This window comes from Homo sapiens, chromosome 12, assembly GCF_000001405.40.
Source record: "Homo sapiens chromosome 12, GRCh38.p14 Primary Assembly".
Lineage (NCBI taxonomy): Eukaryota > Metazoa > Chordata > Mammalia > Primates > Hominidae > Homo > Homo sapiens.
The window spans coordinates 80,274,613-80,295,829 of record NC_000012.12 but is presented as its reverse complement, the minus strand read 5'-3'; the positions used below and the strand labels follow the sequence as shown (position 1 = coordinate 80,295,829).

At 36.2% G+C, this 21,217-nt stretch overlaps 1 protein-coding gene across 7 annotated transcripts in view; it reads right to left on the bottom strand.

The window, feature by feature from the left end:
• OTOGL (otogelin like) overlaps nucleotides 1-21,217 on the bottom strand; it is a 281,344-nt gene that overhangs the window by 85,051 nt on the left and 175,076 nt on the right. For all 7 annotated transcript variants that reach the window (NM_001368062.3, NM_001378610.3, NM_001378609.3 and 4 more), the window contains 2 exons: nucleotides 17,555-17,662; nucleotides 16,664-16,802 (listed from right to left, as the gene is read on the bottom strand). In NM_001368062.3, coding sequence (NP_001354991.2) covers nucleotides 16,664-16,802; nucleotides 17,555-17,662 — 247 coding nt within the window. The remainder of the gene's footprint in view (nucleotides 1-16,663; nucleotides 16,803-17,554; nucleotides 17,663-21,217) is intronic.

Genomic DNA, 21,217 nt, shown 5'->3' with positions numbered 1-21,217 from the left:
ACAATGGGATGTTATATGTATATAATGTGAAATAATTAAATAAAACGAACATACTCATCAACTCATATACTTACCATTTTTCTAGGAAGAAAGTACATGGCTTCTTGTCAAATTCTCAAAGTGGTCCTAATCTCCCCCAAAGTTAAAAGCTACTGCTCTAAGAGCCCATTCACTGATTGTGGACAGTAGAGACTTCATTAAAAGGAAAGGAAGAACTGTGACATTTCTCTTTGGATTCAATGTTCAATTTTCAAAGGCCCACACACACTTCCTGAATCTTTTCCATTTTGAGACACATGGGTCAGCATTTATTTTCATAGTAAGAAAAAGTCATTAAATGTTTGGCAATCATAGGCCAGACGCGGTGGCTCACGCCTGTAATCCCAGCACTTTGGGAGGCCGAGGCAGGCAGATCACTTGAGATCAGGAGTTCAAGACCAGCCTGGCCAACATGGCAAAACCCAGTCTCTACTAAAAATGCAAAAATTAGCCAGGCATGGTGGCACGCACCTGTAGTCCCAGCTACTCGGGAGGCTGAGGCAAGAGAATTGCTTGAACCTGGGAGGCTGAAGTTGCAGTAAGCTGAGACCACGCCACTGCACTCCAGCACTCCAGTCTGGGTGACAGATTGAGACTCTGTCTTAAAAAAAAAAAAAAAAAAAAAAAAAAAAAGTTCGGCAATCATACAGTTTGTGTTTTGTTTTTTTGGTGGTGGTGTTGTTGTTGTTTTTCAGATGGGGTCTTGCCCTGTCACCCAGGCTGCTGGAGCGCAGTGGCATGATCATGAGTCACTGCAGCCTCAACTTTCCAGGCTCAAACAGTTCTTCCACCTTGGCCTCCTGAGTAGCTGGGAGAGAGACTACAGCTGTGTGCCACCACACCTGACCAATTTTTAAAATTTTTTTGTAGAGGCAGGGTGTCACTATGTTTACCCAGGCCGGTCTCAAACTACTGGGCTCAAGCGAGCCATTCATTTTAGCCTCCCAAAGTGCTGGGATTAGAGGTGTAAGCCACCTTGCCTAATGATCATAGAGGTCTTGATGTAAATTCTTCACACTTAGTTTTTCACAACACTGGCAATATGAAAACTAACTCATTTCATCTCTTACTTTGGCTAAATTCTTTCTGCCTTGTTAATAAGTATTATAGTGTCTAGAGGATAGGTTTTTAATGAATGGTATAGATGGAGTAATTAATATATCCCTCTGTAACCCATTTTTCCTTCATAGATGCTGGGAGCTTTTGCTGCTTTTTAAACAATCCTTTTGAGAAATAATAAGGGTCATTAAGATGATTATGGCATTGTACTACTCAAAAAATTAATGTCATACTTTTCTGCCTTTCAGCATAATTTTCAAAGAGAAAAATACATAATTTAGGGTTTTGTTTTGCTCTTCATCTTGGGAAAAGTTATTTAGACTAAGGGATGTGAAAAGCTGATTGAAAGGCTTTTTATTGCCATTATATTTTATTGCTATTAATTAAAATGCCTCAATGTTAGTTTCATCCTTTATATTAAATCTGAAATGTCAAGAAATATTCTATCTTGTATGCTTTGTCTTACAATTTCATGCTATGCTCACAGTAATTTGTAACAATAGCAATACACCTAAAAGTCACATTTCTATACTTTCCATTTCTAATGTATTTCAAGTTAATATTAGGTTTAAAAATAATGCCACAGAGTTGTTAAGCAACATAGTAATAATGACAACAAAGCTGGAGGAAAAAGGTCAACATCAATGTGTCACCTGGGCTCCTCAAAACCCTTTATTCTCAGGTACTAAAAGCTTTAATACAGAATATGCCCCAAAATGACTCTGAAACAGAAACTGTCAGCACCTTTCAAGGAAGTATATAATTATACTTTACATGTCAGTCTCAGCACCTGTCATAGCCCCAGCCCCTTTTAAGGGTAATTATCCCACACAAAATCTCTGCTGATACCATAGCCTTAGGCAGCCATGGTTTCTGCCCCAAAGCAGTGCATTCATTTATGGGCAAAGGGACTTCAATGTTGCAGAAAAAACGAACTATATTCTAGTCAATTCTCTCTCAAATTTGAACCAGAAAATACTGATTTTTTTTAATGTTTTGCAGGAAGATCTGAGGGTGAATAAACATGTAAAGGATATAAGGAAGAGTAGGAGCTGACCAGGTAAAAAAAAAAAAGCTGAACATATGAGGAAGTAGAAATGATGACTGAACTGACGAAAAAGTAGAGAAAAGACAGAGAAAAGAAAGTTAGACATGCTAGCCTGAGTAGCAGAAAATAGAGCAGTCACACAGAGATTGTCCAAGTTACAAGAATGACATCAGGTCATCCATGACTCTGCTGCCTGGGGCCAAAACCACCCTTCAGTTGACACCTTCATAAGGTTCTTGTAAGAAGACATAAAAAGTTGGGAAAAAGAATGGTAAATATTGTAAAAGGTTACAAAAAGTTTATGAAGATCTTATCTTGTGATCAAACTAATTAAAATTGGATGTATTTCTTAAAATTAACTTTAGTGTTAATAATGCACAATGCAAAGGTAAAATTTGGTTTTCTCTTTTGAACAAGCTTTTTGTGTAATATTAAGAGATAGTAAAAGATTTTTATTTACCTTTTGAGTATACGGCAAGAAAAAAAGGGAAGAGAGAGACAGATTAAATTTACCTTTTTAGCTATCTTTATTAAGTTTTAAGATTATTTGGGAAACTGAGTCTCCTGTCTACCAAAGAGTAAAGGTTTTAGCTTTTTAAAATATTTGAATTATCACTTTGATTAAATGACTAATTTTGCAGTTACCTGTGACTCTTATTTTGCAATATCAAGTGTTTTAAGCCTTTGATATTTGATAACCTTTCCAAATTCTAAATTCAGTCTTTTGGCCTCAAACTAACTTTTTGGGTATTAGGGCTCCTGAAGTCCGAGACAGACATATTCATCTTCGTTGGTATGTTAAAATTACACCAGAATCATTGTCAAATATGAAATGGTGTTTAACTTTCTTTGAGTTATTTTTATATGAATGTGTCATTAATATATGTTCCAAAATTATATAAGATTCATATAGTTCTGGTATGTCTTAATCTATGTTATCAGGAATAATTATGACTATTACATTAAATTATTGTATGCCACAGAAATAATCAAATTTCCTTGTCTATTGTGTCTTTAACCGTGGCTAGTCTAAGACTTTTGTCATGCACAGACAATTATTGTTTTACTTTTATTCTTCTCAAAAAGCACTTTATAATCAGCTGCAGTCCACAACTTGCTTCCTTAAGGAAGTTTGTGGAAAGGACTCTGACAGGTGCTCTTGAAGGCAGGTTTCTGATTACTTTGGAGATTGTGCCATCAGACTAGAGAGAAAACTTCTGGGATTCTCACTGGAGGGCAGATGTGTTCATGAGGATTGCTGGCCCAATACTGGGCAGAACAAGAGTTAACTGCATGGGACTGAACTAACAGAAGGCTGAAATGTTTTCTTATGACTTGTTTGTTTGAAACATTGGGCTTCTTTACGTTTTGTTTTCTAAAGTCAAGAAAACATTTCTGCTGGGCGTAGTGGCTCATGCCTGTAATCTCAGCAATTTGGGAGGCCGAGGCAGGCTGATCTCCTGAGGTCAGGAATTCAAGACCAGCCTGACCAACATGGAGAAACCCCGTCTCTACTAAAAATACAAAATTAGCCAGGTGTGGTGGCGCATGCCTGTAATCCCAGCTACTTGGGAGGTTGAAGCAGGATAATTGCTTGAACCTAGAAGGTGGAGGTTGTGGTGAGCCAAGATTGCACCACTGCACTCCAGCCTGGGCAATAAGAGTGAAACTCCATCTCAAAAAAACAAAAAAAGAAAAAGAAAAGAAAAGAAAAAGAAAAAAAAGAAAAGAAAATATTTCTTTCTTTTGAGCTATTTATAGCTTACAACAAATTGAGTAAAGTATGCTCTTGTGAGCAAAATTTGAGGCATATTTCTTTCTATCTGATTTCTCCAGAATTTAAAAATCATTTGTGAGTATTCTTAAATTATGGCAATATAGCTATTTGCATAAGTTCAATAAGAATCTATTTTCTGTTGTAACAGGAAACAGTTGGAGACGCTGGTTATTTTACCACAGCTTTGACTAGGATGGAATATTTACAGATATGACTGGACTGCTTTGGGGAATTTAAGTTGACATTATAGAGCTGACCAAAGCCTCTCGTACAGACTGGCCTGACACCTTGTTTATGCAATTCCTTTACAATGTTTGTGACCTGTAGTAAGTAAAGCACATCACTTTCTGACAGGCTTAGGAACCCCAAGTTATTTTAGAACCTCAAGAAGAGAGAAATTAACCCAATTCATATAGGTATTTGCAGGCACATATAAATCCTTAGCTGGCTAACCTCAAGAGGCTTTTAAAAGGTCTAATCTGAGATTATGAAAAAGTTACAACAAAGCCAACGTAAAAGAGCCTATATGAACAATAATTATTCTTGCTGCATTTTATGCAAATAATCAAGCCAAATATACTACGATTAAAACTTATTTTGCAAGTACATTGGTCCTGTTATGATTTGTCTTTCATAGAAATGAGGAACTGAGAGAGAGAAAAATATCATTTGAAAAGAAACTATGGTACGTCTTTTATTAGTTTCTGGCCTTGTCCATTATTTATTAGTTGATATTATTTCTCTACAATTAAACATAAACACAAGATTATAGTTTCCTCTTGCCAGGACTCAGAGTTAAGACAAATACTCTACTTGAAATATTTTCTGCACAATCAGTATTTGAAATGACAATGATAAATGCTACATTTTCTCTACTAAAAAAAGAAAATGAGAGTAACAGGAGAAAATACTAACAAGTAGTTATTGAGTTCACCAAATGCCCAGCATTCTGCAAAATGACTTAGAAAGAATAACAAGAAATATAAGGCATTGTCCCCACCATCAAAACCTTAGAATTTTCTTAGAGAAATCTGTCTTAATATGGAGTATAAATAGTAGATATGTCTTTACTGGCATGCTTTACATTTAATAGGCCCCTAAAATTGTTTTATTAAATGAATGAAATAATAATGTGAACAAAGATCACCACCATACATTGGAAAATATTTGTAGAGATGCTGAAACATGAACAAGATTTTTAATGCTTTTGGTAGAAATGTGCAAATATTTTTTCCATATACAAAATGAAAAATAAAGCTTCACAGAATCTTTGTGTTACTACTTAAAATGATACCATAAACAAACATCTTTAACAGTAATGATATATCCAATGGGAACATGTCATGTTTGACATTATATTGTCAGCAAAACTTTCTTTTTTCTGAATGTAACTTAAATTTGACTATGCAGAAGAAGAGAAATAATTTCAAAAATAATTAAAATCAGGTTGTTAAAGAAAGTAAAATGTTCTACATCCTTACTACTCAAAATATGGTCCATAGACATGGAGCATCAGCACTATCTAGTAGCTTATTGAAAAGGCAGAACCTGGGGGACTTGGCAAGATGGCCGAATAGGAACAGTTCTGGTCTGCAGCTCCCACCGAGACCAATGCAGAAGGTGGGTGATTTCTGCATTTCCAACTGAGTTACCCAGTTCATCTCTCTAGGACTGGTTAGAGAGTGGGTGCAGCCCAAGGAGGGTGAGCAGAAGCAGGGCGGGGTGTCACCTCACCCACGAAGTGCAAGGGGCCAGGGAACCAGGGAAACCCCTCCCCTAGCCAAGGGAAGCCATGAAGGGCTGTGCTATCCAGCCCAGATACTACGATTTTCTCATGGTTTTTGCAACCCACAAACCAGGAGATTCCCTTGTGTGCCTACGACACCAGGGCCCCAGGTTTCAAGCACAAAACTGGGCAGCTGTTTGGGCAGACTCCAAGCTAGCTGCAGAAGTTTTTTTTTTCATACCCCAGAGGCACCTGGAACCCCAGCAAGACAAAACCGTTCACTTCTCTGGAAAGGGGGTTGAAGCCAGGAAGCCAAGTGGTCTCACTCAGCGGGTCCCACCCCCATGGAGCCCAGCAAGCTAAGAACCACTGGCTTGAAATTCTCGCTGCCAGCACAGCAGTCTGAAGTTAACCTGGGACGATTGACCTTGGTTGGGGGAGGGGCGTCCGCCATTACTGAGGCTTGAGTAGATGGTTTTCCCCTCACAGTGTTAAAGAAGCCACTGGGAAGTTTGGACTGGGCGGAACACATCACAGCGTGGCAAAGTGGCTGTGGCCAGACTACCTCTCTGGATTCCTCCTCACTGGGCAGGACATCTCTGAAAGAAATGCAGCAGCCACAGTCAGGGGCTTATAGACAAAACTCCCATCTCCCTGGACAGAGCACCTGCGGGAAGGGTCAGCTGTGGGCACAGCTTCAGCAGACTTCAATGTTTGTGCCTGCTGGCTCTGACGAGAGCAGCGGATCTCACAGCAGAATGCTCAAGCTCCACTAAGGGACAGACTGCCTCCTCAAGTGGGTCCCTGACCCCTGTGCCTCCTGACTGGGAGACACTTCCTAGTAGGGGTCGACAGACACTTCATACAGGAGAGCTCTGGCTGGCATCAGATGCGTGCCCCTCTGGGATGAAGCTTCCAGAGGAAGGAGCAGGCAGCAATCTTTGCTGTTCTGCAGCCTCCGCAGGTAACACCCAGGCAAGCAGGGTTTGGAGTAAACCTCCAGCAAATGCCAACAGACCTGCAGAAGAGAGCCCTGACTGTTAGAAGGAAAACTAACAAAAAGAAAGTGATAACATCAACAAAAAAGACTTCCATACAAAATCCCCATCCAAAGGCCATCAGCATCAAAGATCAAAGGTAGATAAATCCACGAAGAAGAGCAAAAACGGCACAAAAATGCTGAAAATTCCAAAAACCAGAATGCCTCTTCTCCTCCAAATGATCACAGCTCCTTTCAGGCAAGGGCACAAAACTGGACAGAGAATGAGTTTGATGAATTGACAGAAGTAGGCTTCAGGAAGTGGGTAGTAACAAACTCTTCAGAGCTAAAAGAGTATGTTCTAACCCAATCAATGCAAAGAAGCTAAGAACCTTGATAAAAGGTTACAGGAACTGCTAACTAAAATAACCAGTTTAGAGAAGAACATAAATGACCTGGTGGAGTTGAAAGACACAACATGAGAACTTCGTGAAGCATACAAAAGGATCAATAGCCAAATGAATCAAGCAGAAGAAAGGATATCAGAGACTGATTATCAACTTAATGAAACAAAGTGTGAAGACAAGATCAGAGAAAACAGAATGAAAAGGAACAAAGCCTACAAGAAATATGGGACTATGTGAAAAGACCAAGCCTATGATTGATTGGTGTAGCTGAAAGTGACAGGGAGAATGGAACCATGCTGGAAAACACACCTCAGGATATTATCCAGGAGAACTTCCCCAACCTAGCAGGACAGGTCAACATTCAAATTCAGGAAATACGAGAACACCACTAAGATACTCTTCGAGAAGAGTAACCCCAAGACACATAATCCTCAGATTCTCCAAGGTTGAAATGAAAGAAAAAATATTAAGGGCAGCCAGAGAGAAAGGTCAGGTTACCTACAAACGGAAACTCATCAGAATAACAGCAGATCTTCCTGCAGAAACCCTATAAGCCAGAAGACAGTGGGGGCCAATATTCAACATTCTTAAAGAAAAGAATTTTCAATCCAGAATTTCATATCCAGCCAAACTAGGCTTCATAAGCAAAGGAGAATTAAAATCCTTTACAGACAAGCAAATTCTGAGGGATTTTGTCACCACCAGGCCTGTCATACATGAGCTCCTGAAGGAAGCACTAAATATGGAAAGGAAAAACAAGTACCAGCCACTGCAAAAACATATCAAAATATAAAGACCAATGACACGATGAAGAAACTGCATCAACTAATGTGCAGAATAACCAGCTAGCATCATGATGACAGGATCAAATTCACACCTAAAAATATTAACCTTAAATGGAAATGCACTAAATGCCCCAATTAAGATACACAGACTGGCAAATTGGACAAGGAGTCAAGACCCATTGCTGTGCTATATTCAGGAGACCCATCTCATGTGTAAAGACACACATAGGCTCAAAATAAAGGAATGGAAGAATATTTATCAAGCAAATGGAAAGCAAAAAAAAAGCAGAAGTTGTAATCCTAATCTCTGATAAAACAGACTCTAAACCAACAAAGATCAAAAAAGACAAAGAAAGATATACTTAATGGTAAAGGGATCAATGCAACAAGAAGAGCTAATGATCCTAAATACATACGCACCCAATACTGGAGCACTCAGATTCATAAAGCAAGTTCTTAGAGACGAACAAAGAGACTTAGACTCTCACACAATAATAGTGGGAGACTTTAACACCCCACTGTCAATATGAGACATATCAACAAGACAGAAAATTAACAAGGATATTCAGGACTGGAACTCAGCTCTGGACCAGGCAGACCTAATAGACACTTACAGAACTCTCCACCCCAAATCAACAGAATATACATTCTTCTTAGCACCACATCACACTTATTCTAAAATTGACCACGTAATTGGAAGTAAAACACTCCTCAGCAAATGCAAAAGAATGGAATTCATAACAAACAGTCTCTCAGACCACACTGCAATCAAATTAGAACTCAGGATTAAGAAACCCACTCAAAACTGCACAACTACATGGAAACTGAACAACGTGCTCCTGAATGACTACTAGGTAAATAACTAAATTAAGACAGAAATAAATAAGTTCTTTGAAACCAGTGAGAACAAAGACACAACGTACCAGAATCTCTGGGACACAGCTAAAGCAGTGTTTAGAGGCAAATTTATAAATGTCCCTATAAATCTAAATGCCCACATCAGAAGGCGGGAATGATCTACAATTGATACCCTAACATCACAATTGAGAGAACTAGAGAAGCAAGCGCAAACAAATTCAAAAGCTAGCAGAAGACAAGAAATAACTAAGAACAGAGCAGAACTCAGGGAGATAGAGACACGAAAAATCCTTCAAAAAATCAATGAATCCAGGAGCTGGTTTTTTGAAAAGATTAACAAAACAGACCACTAGCCAGACTAATAAAGAAGAAAAGAGAGAAGATTTTCTAGTTTATTTGCATAGAGACACAATAAAAAAAATGACAAAGGGGAGATCACCACTGATCACACAGAAATACAAACTACCTTCAGAGAATACTTTAAACACTTCTACCAAATAAACTAGAAAATCTAGAATAAATGGATAAATTCCTGGACACATACACCCTCCCAAGACTAAGGCAGGAAGAAGTCAAATCCCTGAATAGACCAATAACAAGTTCTGAAATTGAGGCAGTAATTAATAGCCTACCAACCAAAAAAAGCCCAGGACCAGATGGATTCACAGCCAAATTCTACCAGAGTTACAAAAAGGAGCTGGTACCATTCCTTCTGAAACTATTCCAAACAACAGAAGAAGAGGGACTACTCCCTAACTCATTTTATGTGGACAGCATCATCCTGATACCAAAACCCGGCAGAAACACAACAAAATAAGAAAATTTCAAGCCAACATCCCCGATGTACATCAATGCGAAAATCCTCAGTAGAATACTGGCAAACTGAACCCAGCAGCATATCAAAAAGCTTATCCACCACGATCAAGGTGGCTTCATCCCTGAGATGCAAAGCTGGTTCAACATACACAAATCAATAAATCTAATCCATCACAGAAAACAGAACCAATGACAAAAACCACATGATTATTTCAATAGATGCAGAAAAGGCCTTCAATAAAATTAAACATCCCTTTATGCTAAAAACACTCAATAAATCAGGTATTGATGGAACATATGTTAAAATAATAAATGCTATTTATGACAAACCCATAGCCAATATCATACTGAATGGGCAAAAACTGGAAGCATTCCCTTTGAAAACCGGCACAAGACAAGGATGCCCCCTCTTACCACTCTTATTCAACATAGTGTTGGAAGTTCTGGCCAGGGCAATTAGGCAAGAGAAAGAAATAAAGGTATTCAAATAGGAAGAGAGAACATCAAATTGTCTCGGTTTGCAGATGACATAATTGTATATTTAGAAAATCCCATCATCTCAGCCCAAAAACTCCTTAAGCTGATAAGCAACTTCAGCAAAGTCTCAGGATGCAAAATCAATGTGCAAAAATCACAAGCATTCTTATACACCAAAAATAAACAGAGAACCAAATTATGAGTGGACTCCCATTCATAATTGCTATAAAGAAAATAAAATACCTAGGAATACAACTTACAATGTATGTGAAGGATCTCTTCAAGAACTACAAACCATTGCTCAAAGAAATAAGAGAGGACACAAGCAAATGGAAAAAAGATTCTATGCTCACAGATACAGTGAATCAATATCGTGAAAATGGCCATACTGCCCAAAGTAATTTATAGATTCAATGCTATTCCCATCAAGCTACCATTAACTTTCTTCGCAGAATTAGAAAAAACTACTTTAAATTTCATATGGAATCAAAAAAGAGCCCATATAGCCAAGATAATACTAAGCAAAAGGAACAAAGCTGGAGACATCATGCTACCTGACTGCAAACTATACTACAAGGCTATAGTAACCAAAACAGCAAGCTACTGGTATCAAAACAGGTATATAGACCAATGGAACCTAACAGAGGCCTCGGAAATAATGCCACATATCTACAACCACCTGATCTTTGACAAATCTGACAAAAACAAGCAATAGGGAAAGGATTCCCTATTAAATAAATGGTATTGGGAAAACAAGTTAACCATATGCGGAAAACTGAAACTGGACCCCTTCCTTACACCTTATACAAAAATTAATTCAAGATGGATTAAAGACTTAAGCATAAGACCTAAAACCATAAAAACCCTAGAAAAAAACCTAGGTAATACCATTCAGGACATGGGCATGAGCAAAGCCTTCATGACTAAAACACCAAAAGCAATTGCAACAAAAGCCAAAATTGACAAATGGGATCTAATTAAACTAAAGAGTTCTGCACAGTAAAAGAAACTAGCATCAGAGTGAACAGGCATCCTACCAAATGGGAAAAATTTTTGCAATCTATCCATCTGACAAAGGTCTAATATCCAGAATCTACAAGGAACTTAAACAAATTTACTAGGAAAAGACAAACAACCCCATCAAAAAGTGGCCAAAGGATATGAACAGACACTTCTCAAAAGAAGACATTTATACAGCCAACAAACATATGAAAAAAAGCTCATCATCGCTGGTCATTAGAGAAATGCAAATCAAAACCACAATGAGATATCATCTCACACCAGTTAGAATGGTGATCATTAAAAAGTCAGAAAACAACAGATGCTGGAGAGGATGTGGAGAAATAGGAACACTTTTACACTGCTGGTGGGAGTGTAAATTAGTTCAACCATTGTGGAAGACAGTGTAGCAATTCCTCAAGGATCTAGAACCAGAAATACCACTTGACCCAGCAATCTCATTACTGAGTATATACCCAAAGATTTATAAATTATTCTACTATAAACACACATGCACACGTATGTTTATTGCAGCACTATTCACAATAGAAAAGACTTGGAGCCAACCCAAATGCCCATCAATGACAGACTGGACAAGGAAAATGTGGCACATATACACCATCGGATACTATGTAGCCATAAAAAAGAATGAGTTCATGTGCTTTGCAGGGACATGGATGAAGCTGGATACCATCATTCTCAGCAAACTAATGCAGGAACAGAAAACCAAACACCACATGTTCTCGCTCATAAGTGGGAGTTGAACAATGAGAACACATGGACACAGGGAGGGGAACATCATACACTGGGGTCTGTCAGGGGATGGGGAAGCAAAGGGAGGGAGAGCATTAGGACAAATACCTAATGTGTGGGGGGATTAAAACCTAGATGACAGGTTGATGGGTGTAGCAAACCACCATGGCACACGTATACCTATGTAACAAACCTGCACGTTCTGCACATGTACCCCAGAACTTAAAGTATAATTTAAAAAAAGAAAAGGCAGAGCCCAAAACCCTACTACAGTCCTATGAAAACAGAATTCATATTTTAACAATATTCCTAGGTGATCTGCATGCACACTAAGGTTTAAGAAGTGCTGCTCTAAAAACTTCACATTGAAAGCTCGTGTATGCATTTATCACAAGTGTTAGATTGCTAGAACTAAAAATTCATGTTTAAGCTTGTGGTCTCTATTCTCAAGTGGAGACTGTTGAAAAAAGTCAAACAAGTAATTTTTTAGCTTCATAATTCAGCCATAATTGTGCTAGCTCCCATGAGGAACCCAGAAGAAGTGTACCAAATAGTTCTGACATAAAATGATACACAATCTAGATGAGTATATAAAAATAATCAGAATATAATGAGCTGCTTAATTTTGATGTTATGACTATAAACACAATAGGATATAAGAACAGGACAGATAACTGTGAGCTGAACACATGACTTTGAGGGAGCAGAGGAAATCAGACACAGAAAGTACACTGAGAAAAGACATAGATGAGGGATGGAGCTGACAGAACCCTTGGAAAGACTGGAGTAGGAGGTTTGACTTTATGACGCTATTGGAAGCCACTGGAGGCCATTGGAAGTCACTGTAGTTCTTAAGAAGCAATTACATGATAACAATATGAGTCTCAGAAAGATAAATAGAAAGAAATAGTATATTATTGTAAGGATGAACTTGAGTCAGAAATATAGTCAAGAAATTGAGTGTCAGAGCTCTACACATCAATTTGGAACTCATCAGTGTGTAGCTGTAGCTAAGATTTTAGAAGTGGATGAACACACCAAGCACTAGGAAAAAGGGGTAAAGAACCACAAACAGATGTCCACTTCAATAAACATTCAGTGAGAAACTATGTTCCCAGCATGGTGCTCCTCCCTTGTGAAACAATGATGAGCAAGACTTGGTCCTTGCTCTGAAGGAACCAAATCAGTCATCTCTGAGTGGGGGCTTATGTAAGAGGAAAAGGCAACACAAGACAAAGAAGAAACCAGAGAGAAAGAATCATAATATCCAGAAAGTCAAGGGTGGAGGTAACTTAAAGGAGTGTCAGAGGCACCTAAATATCAAGGAAAGTGAGGATTTTATATAAAATCAACCTGAAAAGTATATTTGTTTATGTGTTCAAATTTCTAAACTGTTATCTACTTTTCTAAGCCTCTAAATTTATACTCTAAACCTCAGGGGATGAAAGGATTCTAATATAAAATTGTTTGCTAAAACAGGCTTGTTCAAAGAAGATACTTAGAGAATGTATTCTTTAGTGTGCCTTCCGTAGGCTCCGAAAATAATCCAAACAACACAAGACAAAAAAAAAAATACCCTATAGGCAACTTACCATCCGTTATAATTATATGACTGCCAAATCCATTCCTAGGTATTTATTCTTTAAGAAACTTAAAACCATTCATAAAGGAAGACAAGACAAGTACCAACAGGAAAATCCAATGACGTAAAACATAAGCAAGAACCTTCCTTAAGTTTAAAAGGCTATAGATTTTACTATTCATTTTTTATGTAACAGAACTAATATAAAATAGAAGATAGTCTGTTTTCTTGACTTAGGCTTAAATAACAGAATCACACACAAACCTCTAATAATATAAAAGTCACATCCAGAAAAAAATGCATTAATCATAGGTTAGTTTGCTGGAGGAAAAGATGTTATTTTGTTTATTCTTGTGTGACTTCTTTCTAAAGCTCACATTTTTCATTTAGAAATGTAAATCTGTGATCAGTAATGCCTAAAATTTGAGTATACAGGTAATTCAAATGCATTCAATGTAAGAAATTTTAAGGATTTTATCAGATATATAAAGCCTGGAGTTTACCAAAGCATATCATCAAAATAGCATTTCTAGAATTGAGCATAATATCTTTTTATTGTCATAACCATAAAAAATGTATAACCCAATTATGGTTTAATGTGTTATATTTATATTCACCAAACCAAGTTAATAACAATAAAAATGGCTAACATTTATTGAACTCTCACTTTATATCAAATACTATCTAAGCCTTTTATATATATTTATCTATTCAATCCTCAGAACTTCTTTCACAATTATTTTTCTCATTTTATAGATGAGGAAACAGAGGCACAGAATGTTTAAGAACTAGCCCATTACCTATAAATAATAAAAGTTAAGAATGAATTAAAGAAATACCAAAACCTGGCAGAGATACAATGAAAAAAGAAAACTTCAGGCCAATATCCCTGATTAACATAGACACAGAAATCCTCAACAAAATACTAGCAAACTGAATCTAGCAGCACATCAAAAAGCTAATCCACCACAATCAAGTAGACTTTATTCCTGGAATGACAGTTTGGTGCAACATACACAAATCAATAAATGTGATTCATCACACAAACAGAACTAAAAACAAAAACCACATGATCATCTTAACAGATGCAGGAAAAAGCTTTGGATAAAATTCAACATCCTTCATATTAAAAATCCTCTAAAAACTAGGCATTAGAGGAACATACCTCAAAATATTAACAGCCTTCTATGACAAACCCACAACCAACATCATTCCAAATGGGCAAAAGCTGGACCCAATTCCACTGAGAAGTGGAACAAGACAAGGATGCCCACTCTCATCACTCTCATTCAACATAGTACTGGAAGTCCTAGCCAAAGCAATCAGGCAAAAGAAATAAATAAAAGGCATCCAAATAGGAAGAGGAAGTCAAAGTATCTCTCTTCACAGACAATATGATTCTACACCTGGAAAACCTCATAGCCTCTGCCCAAAGGCTCCTAGAACTGATAAACAACTTCAGTAAAGTTTCAGGATACAAAACCAATGTAGAAAAATCAGCAGCATTTCTATACACCAATAGTGTTCAAGCTGAGAGCAAAATCCAGAATGTAATTCCATTCACAATAGCCATACACACAAAAAAAAAATACCTAGGTATACAGCTAACCAGGAAAATGAAAGATCTCTACAACAAGAATTACAAAACACTGCTGAAAGAAATCAAGACGACACAAACAAATGGAAATACATTTTATGCTCATGAGTAGGAAGAATCGATATTGTTAAAATGGCCATACTTCCCAAAGCTATCTACAAATTCAATGCCATTCCTAAGCAGAAAGAACAAAGCTGGAAGCATCAAACTACCCAACTCCAAACTATACTACAAGACTACAACAACCAAAACAGCATGGTACTGGCACAAAAACAGACACAATGGAACAGGTTAGAGAACCCAAAAACATAGCCACATACCTACAACCATCTGATCTTTGACAAAGCTGACAATAATAAGCAATGAGGAAAGGATTCTCCATTCAATAAATGCTGCTGGGATAACCAGCTAGCCATATGCAGAAGGTTGAAACTGGAACATTTCCTTGCATTAAATACAAAAATCAACCAAAGATGGATTAAAGACTTAAAAGTAAGACCTAAGATCATAAAAAACCTAGAAGAAAACCTAGGGAATGCTATTCTGGATGTAGGCCTTGTCAAAGATTTCATAACAAAGACACCTAAAGCAATTGCAACAAAAACAAAAATTGACAAGTGGGGCCTAATTAAACTAAAGAGCTTCAGCACACCCAAAGAAATGTCCACAAAATAAACAGAAAACCTACAGAATGGGAGAAAATATTTGCAAATTATGCACCCTACAAAGGCCTAATAACCAGAATCTACAAGGAACTTAAACAAGTCAATAAGTACAAAACAACCCCATTAGAAATGGGCAAAGGACATGAACAGACACATCTCAAAAGAATACATACATGCAGCCAACAAGCATATGAAAAAATGCTCAACATCATTAATTATTAGAGAAATGCAAATCAAAACCATAATAAGATATCATCTCACAGCAGTCAAAATGGCTATTATTAAAAAGTCAAAAAAAAACAGATGTTGGCAAGGTTGCGAAGAACAGGGAATGCTTATACACTGCTATATGCTGCTGGTGAGAATGTAAATTAGTTTAGCCACTGTAGAAAGCAGTGTGGCAATTTCTTAAAAAACTTAAAACAGAATTACCAGTCAACCCAGCAATCCCATTATTGTGTATATACCCAAAGGAATATAAATCATTCTACCGTAAAGACACATGTATGCATACATTCATTGCAGCACTACTCACAATAGCAAAGACATGGAATCAACCTAAATGCCCATCAACAGTGGAAAGGATAAAGAAAATGTGGTACATATACACCATGGAATATTACATGGCCATAAGAAAGAAATGTCTTTTGCAGCAACATGGATGCAGCTGGAGACCATTATCATAAGTGAATTAACACAGGAACAGAAAACCAAATACCGCATGTTCTCACTTATAAGTGGGAGCTAAACATTGGGTATATATGGAAACAAAGAGGGGAATAATAGACATTGGGGCCTACTACTTAAGGGTGAAGGATGGGAGGAGGGTAAGGGTCAAAAAACTATCTATTGGGTACTATGCTACTACCTGCATGATGAAATTCTTTGTACACCAAACCCCAGCAACATGTAATATACCCACATTAACAGACCTTCCCAAGTACCCCCGAACCTGAAATAAAAGTTGAAAATATATATAATTGTTTTATAGGTTTTATAAATAACACATGAATTTGATATATCAGGGACCAGCATACTTGTTTTTTACATTAAATCTTTACACGAATGCAAATAAAAATGTGTAACTGTGACCTACCTTTATCAAAAACACCTGGCAATCACTGATATAGTCATATTCTAGTCCATCAAAAGAATAATAATGTCGGTCCCCGTATATTGTGCACACTGCTGGGCATGGATAATATGTGCAATTGAACATTCCTCGTCGACAAACGCTATTAAAAAATAACAAAAGTTACCTTTCTAAAGAAACGACTCTAACTAGTGATTTCAAGTGACAGCAACATTGGAATGTCTGTATTCAAGAGAATTCATGAGTCAATATCCCTTACGAATATTGCCAGTTCATTCTGATACCACCTATTACATTGACAAATTAGGCATACGTTTTTCACTTCCTTTAAATAAATTATCAGACACCAAAACCGAGCCTAGGAATTGTGCATAGGTCACACAGAAAGTAGATGATAGAATGAAAAACTGAACACAGGTCTGCTGGTAGCTGAAAAAGCACAATGCCATCTCCCATATTTGAGTAAATTTAAATGCATTAGACATGACATTGCTCATGAGTTTAGAATCTTTGTCCATATTTTAGGGAAATTATATTTCAAATTTTATTTTATGGTATTCTTTTGACTTACCTTGAAACAGAAAACCTTCCATTAAATACGGTCTTTTCTTTGTAACATTTAGCACTTTCTTATAAACATGAGATATTTTTTCCTATTAAAATTTTAGATTGTTGTGTTTCACAGTTTTCTTCTGGGCTGAACAAATATGCATAAAAATAATGATATAGTCCCCTGCAGATAGTAACTGTCCACCAACTCCTGCAGGCCTTTAAATTATTTGCTGAGGCTTGATTTACTTTTTGCTGATGTCAGTCTCATTAAATAAATAAAAGATGATTGAAATTTACACAATTACTTAGGAAAATATTTGTGAAATAAATGGATCTCCTTACCAGGTGTAACACGGTGTAGCAATCACTTCTCCTGAGAGATACTCCCAATCTTTCCAAATACATGGGCAGCTTTCAGGAACATAACACTTTCCTCTGTGCTCTGCCATTCTTCCAAATGAAGAATAAAATGCTATTTAGTATGAACTACAGTTTTCAGTTTTAAAATATCAGTAATCTTAGCATATTAACACTGTCATCTATATTTATTAGAGCTGTCTAAGGCACTCTATCTAACCTACTGAGGAGATGAATCCAGTCTTTCTCCTCGCTTTTTCCACATAGTACCTTACATATCGCAGTACTAAATGCCAGGCAAATGACTAGATGTGATATGTTGACCTTTTTGCTATTCACTAAGTGCATGAAAGGAAGACAGAAGCCTAAATTTCTAATAAAGTGAGTCATCCCGAAAAAAAATTTATAGAGGAAATGAGAGTCCCGTTCTTCAATATCTGCTACTTAAAAGAGTCTATAGGGCCTACAATTTTCTGATGAAATAGTAAATTATTAAATGGTTAACATTTTTGTTACAAGATATAGAGAGTAATCAAAAGCTTCTTTCTGAGTGTTTAAAGTTGAAAGCAGGAGAGTTTAACTTAGGTGTGTGTGGAACTAAAAAACATATTAAGTGTTTCACATTGTTTCTTATTTATTTAATGTGATAACTTTTGAATGTTGGTTTTCCTTCAAGTGTTATTTTCTTCTTGAAAGATTATACGCTGAAAGTGTCTAAAAATGTCTATGGCTATAAAAGTTAAACACATACAAATGTTATATATTAATATATCATTTAAATATATATAATTAAGTATAAAGTTTTAATATAAAAATTGAACTAATCTCGGGTAAGAATTAATTTTGGTGTGTTATCTAAATATTTGATATGAAGATTAAATATATATTACATATAACATCAAATCATTTAATATAAATATATATTTCAATATTCTTACAATTTTTTCTAAAAGTTTTAATAAAGATTTTTTTCTAGAAGTGTTAACAAAATAATAATAGAACAATAATTTTGTAATTAATTATAAATATAATAAATATATAAAATAAAGATAAAAACATTAAATTTGAAAATTAGTTGTCATTATTTAAATAATTTTTTATTATGAATTAATCTATAATTTAATTTACTTAAATAACAAATAATAAATAATAAATAAATAAAAATTAAAAGCTCCTAAAATAGATAAGGTATAAAACTTTTTTTACATTTTGCTTTAAAATATAAAAATTCAAGATTATAAAAATTCAAGATTATAAAAATTAACATGGAATTCAGGAACCCTGAATTCTTGCCTCTTCTCTAAAACAGAAATAATTTCTCATGTTGTTTTAGCTCTCTGCTTTCTCTCTCATGGCTGTTCGTACACAGTACTGTAATTCCTTATTCAGTGTATATGCTGTCCACTAGACTTTCAGCTTCACTTGAGAGGACCATAAATATCTTGTTTATGTTCATGTCACACAATATGTAGCGCATAGAAGACAACTGAAGAAACGTATTTATATAAATGATGCATTATCTCACTTAGATTTCTTTCTTTCCGACCAACAATGACCTCGATTCTACAGTCTGTCACCTTGGCCCTCCCAAACTTCTAGCTATGCATCCTGAGCTTTGAATTTTTCTTCTTCCTAGAAAATTTTTCTCCTATGTTCTCTCTGGCAAACTTATCACTTACAACTCAATTCGATGCAATCTTTTATGTCCCCAGCTCCTTCACATACTCCCTATACTTAGCAACTTTATAAACTTTTATTGGAGGATTTATCACAATGAACTGTTAAGTACTTCATTAAATAGCTTATAGTGACAATAACTATAAGAACAATAAGAACTATAAGAACAATAACAAAACTAATATTCTTGACTGCTTACTATGGCAAGGCACTATTCTAACCATTTTAACTATGCCCCTAACTGATCTTATCCTAGTGACAGTCCCCTAAGGTAGATTCTATTATTATCTAATAAATGTATTTTAGTACCCCCCATTCCTATAGCTTAACACAATGCCTCAAACATTAGACTCTTCATAAACTTTAATTGTTCAGTTGTTTAAGTGAGGGAAACCTCACCAAAATGAACCACAATTCTTATATCCCCAGCCAAAGTCATGGTTTTAACTGGCATTGCTAATTAATGACTGATGAGTTTTTCATAACTACTCAAAACTGGAAGAAGGAAAAGGAAAACTTTAAATCACTGTAAATTATAGGTGTATTTCAGAGATATTGTTAATTTGGTTCTAGACCACAGCAATAAAGTTAATATCACAATAAAGCAAGTCAATAAAGCAGATTTTTTGGTTCCTAGTACACATAAAAGTTATATTTACAGCATAGTCTATTAAATGCATAATAGCATTATATCTAAAAAATATACATACCTTAATTTAAAAATACTTTATTGCAAAAAAAAAAAGTTAATGATCATCTGAGCCTTCAAGGAGCCATAATCTTTTTGCTGAAGGAGGGTTTTGCTTCAATGTTGATGGCTGCTGACTAATCAGGGTGGTGGTTGCTGAAGGCTGGGATATCTGTGGCAATTTCTTGAAATAAGACACAGTGAAGTTTGCCACATTGATTGACTCCCCCTTTCACAAAAGATTTCTCTGTAGTGTTCAATGCATTTGATAGTGTTTTACCTAAAATTTTCTTTCAAAATTGCAGTCAGTCGTCTTAAACCCTACCACTGCTTTATCAACTAAGTTTATGCAATATTCTAAATCTTTTATTATCATTCTGACAATGTTCACAGCATCTTCACCAAGTATAGATCACATCTCAAGAAACCACTTTTTTTGCTCATCTATAAGAAGCAACTCCTCGTCCATTCAAGTTTTATCATGAGATTGAAGCAAATCAGTCATATCTTCAGGCTTCACTTCTAATTCTAGTTCTCTTGCTATTTCCTTTGCATCTGCAGTTACTTCCTCCACTGACATCTTAAAACCCTCAAAGTTATCCGTGAGGGTTAGAATAAACTTTTTTCAAACTCCTGTTCGTGTTGATATTTTGACCTCTACCCATGAATCACTAATGTTCTTAATGGTATTTAGAATAGTGAATACTCTCCAAAATATTTTCAATTTTCTTTTCCCAGATCCATCAGAGAAATCACTATCTATGGCAGGTATAGCCCTGTGAAATGTATTTCCTAAATAATAAGACTTTAAAGTTGAAATTACTACTTGATCAATGGCTGCAAAATAAATGTGTTAGCAAGCATGAAAACAACATTAATATATCCTTCTGCATCTCCACTGGAACTCCTAGGTGCCAGGTGCACTGCCAATAGGTAGTAATATTTTAAAAGGAATTTTTTTTCTAGGCATCAGGTCTCAACAGTGGGCTGAAAATATTCAGTAAACCATGCTGTAAACAGACGTGCTGCCACCCAGGCTTTGTTGTTCCATTTACAGAGCACAGGTAGAGTAGACTTAGCATAATTCTTAAGGGCCCTAGGATTTTTTGAATGGTAAATGAGCATTGGCTTCAACTTAAAGTCACAAGCTGCCTTAGCCCCTAACAAGAGAGTCAGCCTGTCCGTGGAAACTTTGAAGCCAAGCATTGTCTTCTCTCTAGCTAAGAAAGTCCTAGATGGCACTTTATTCCTATATAAATCTGTTTCATCTACATTGAAAATCT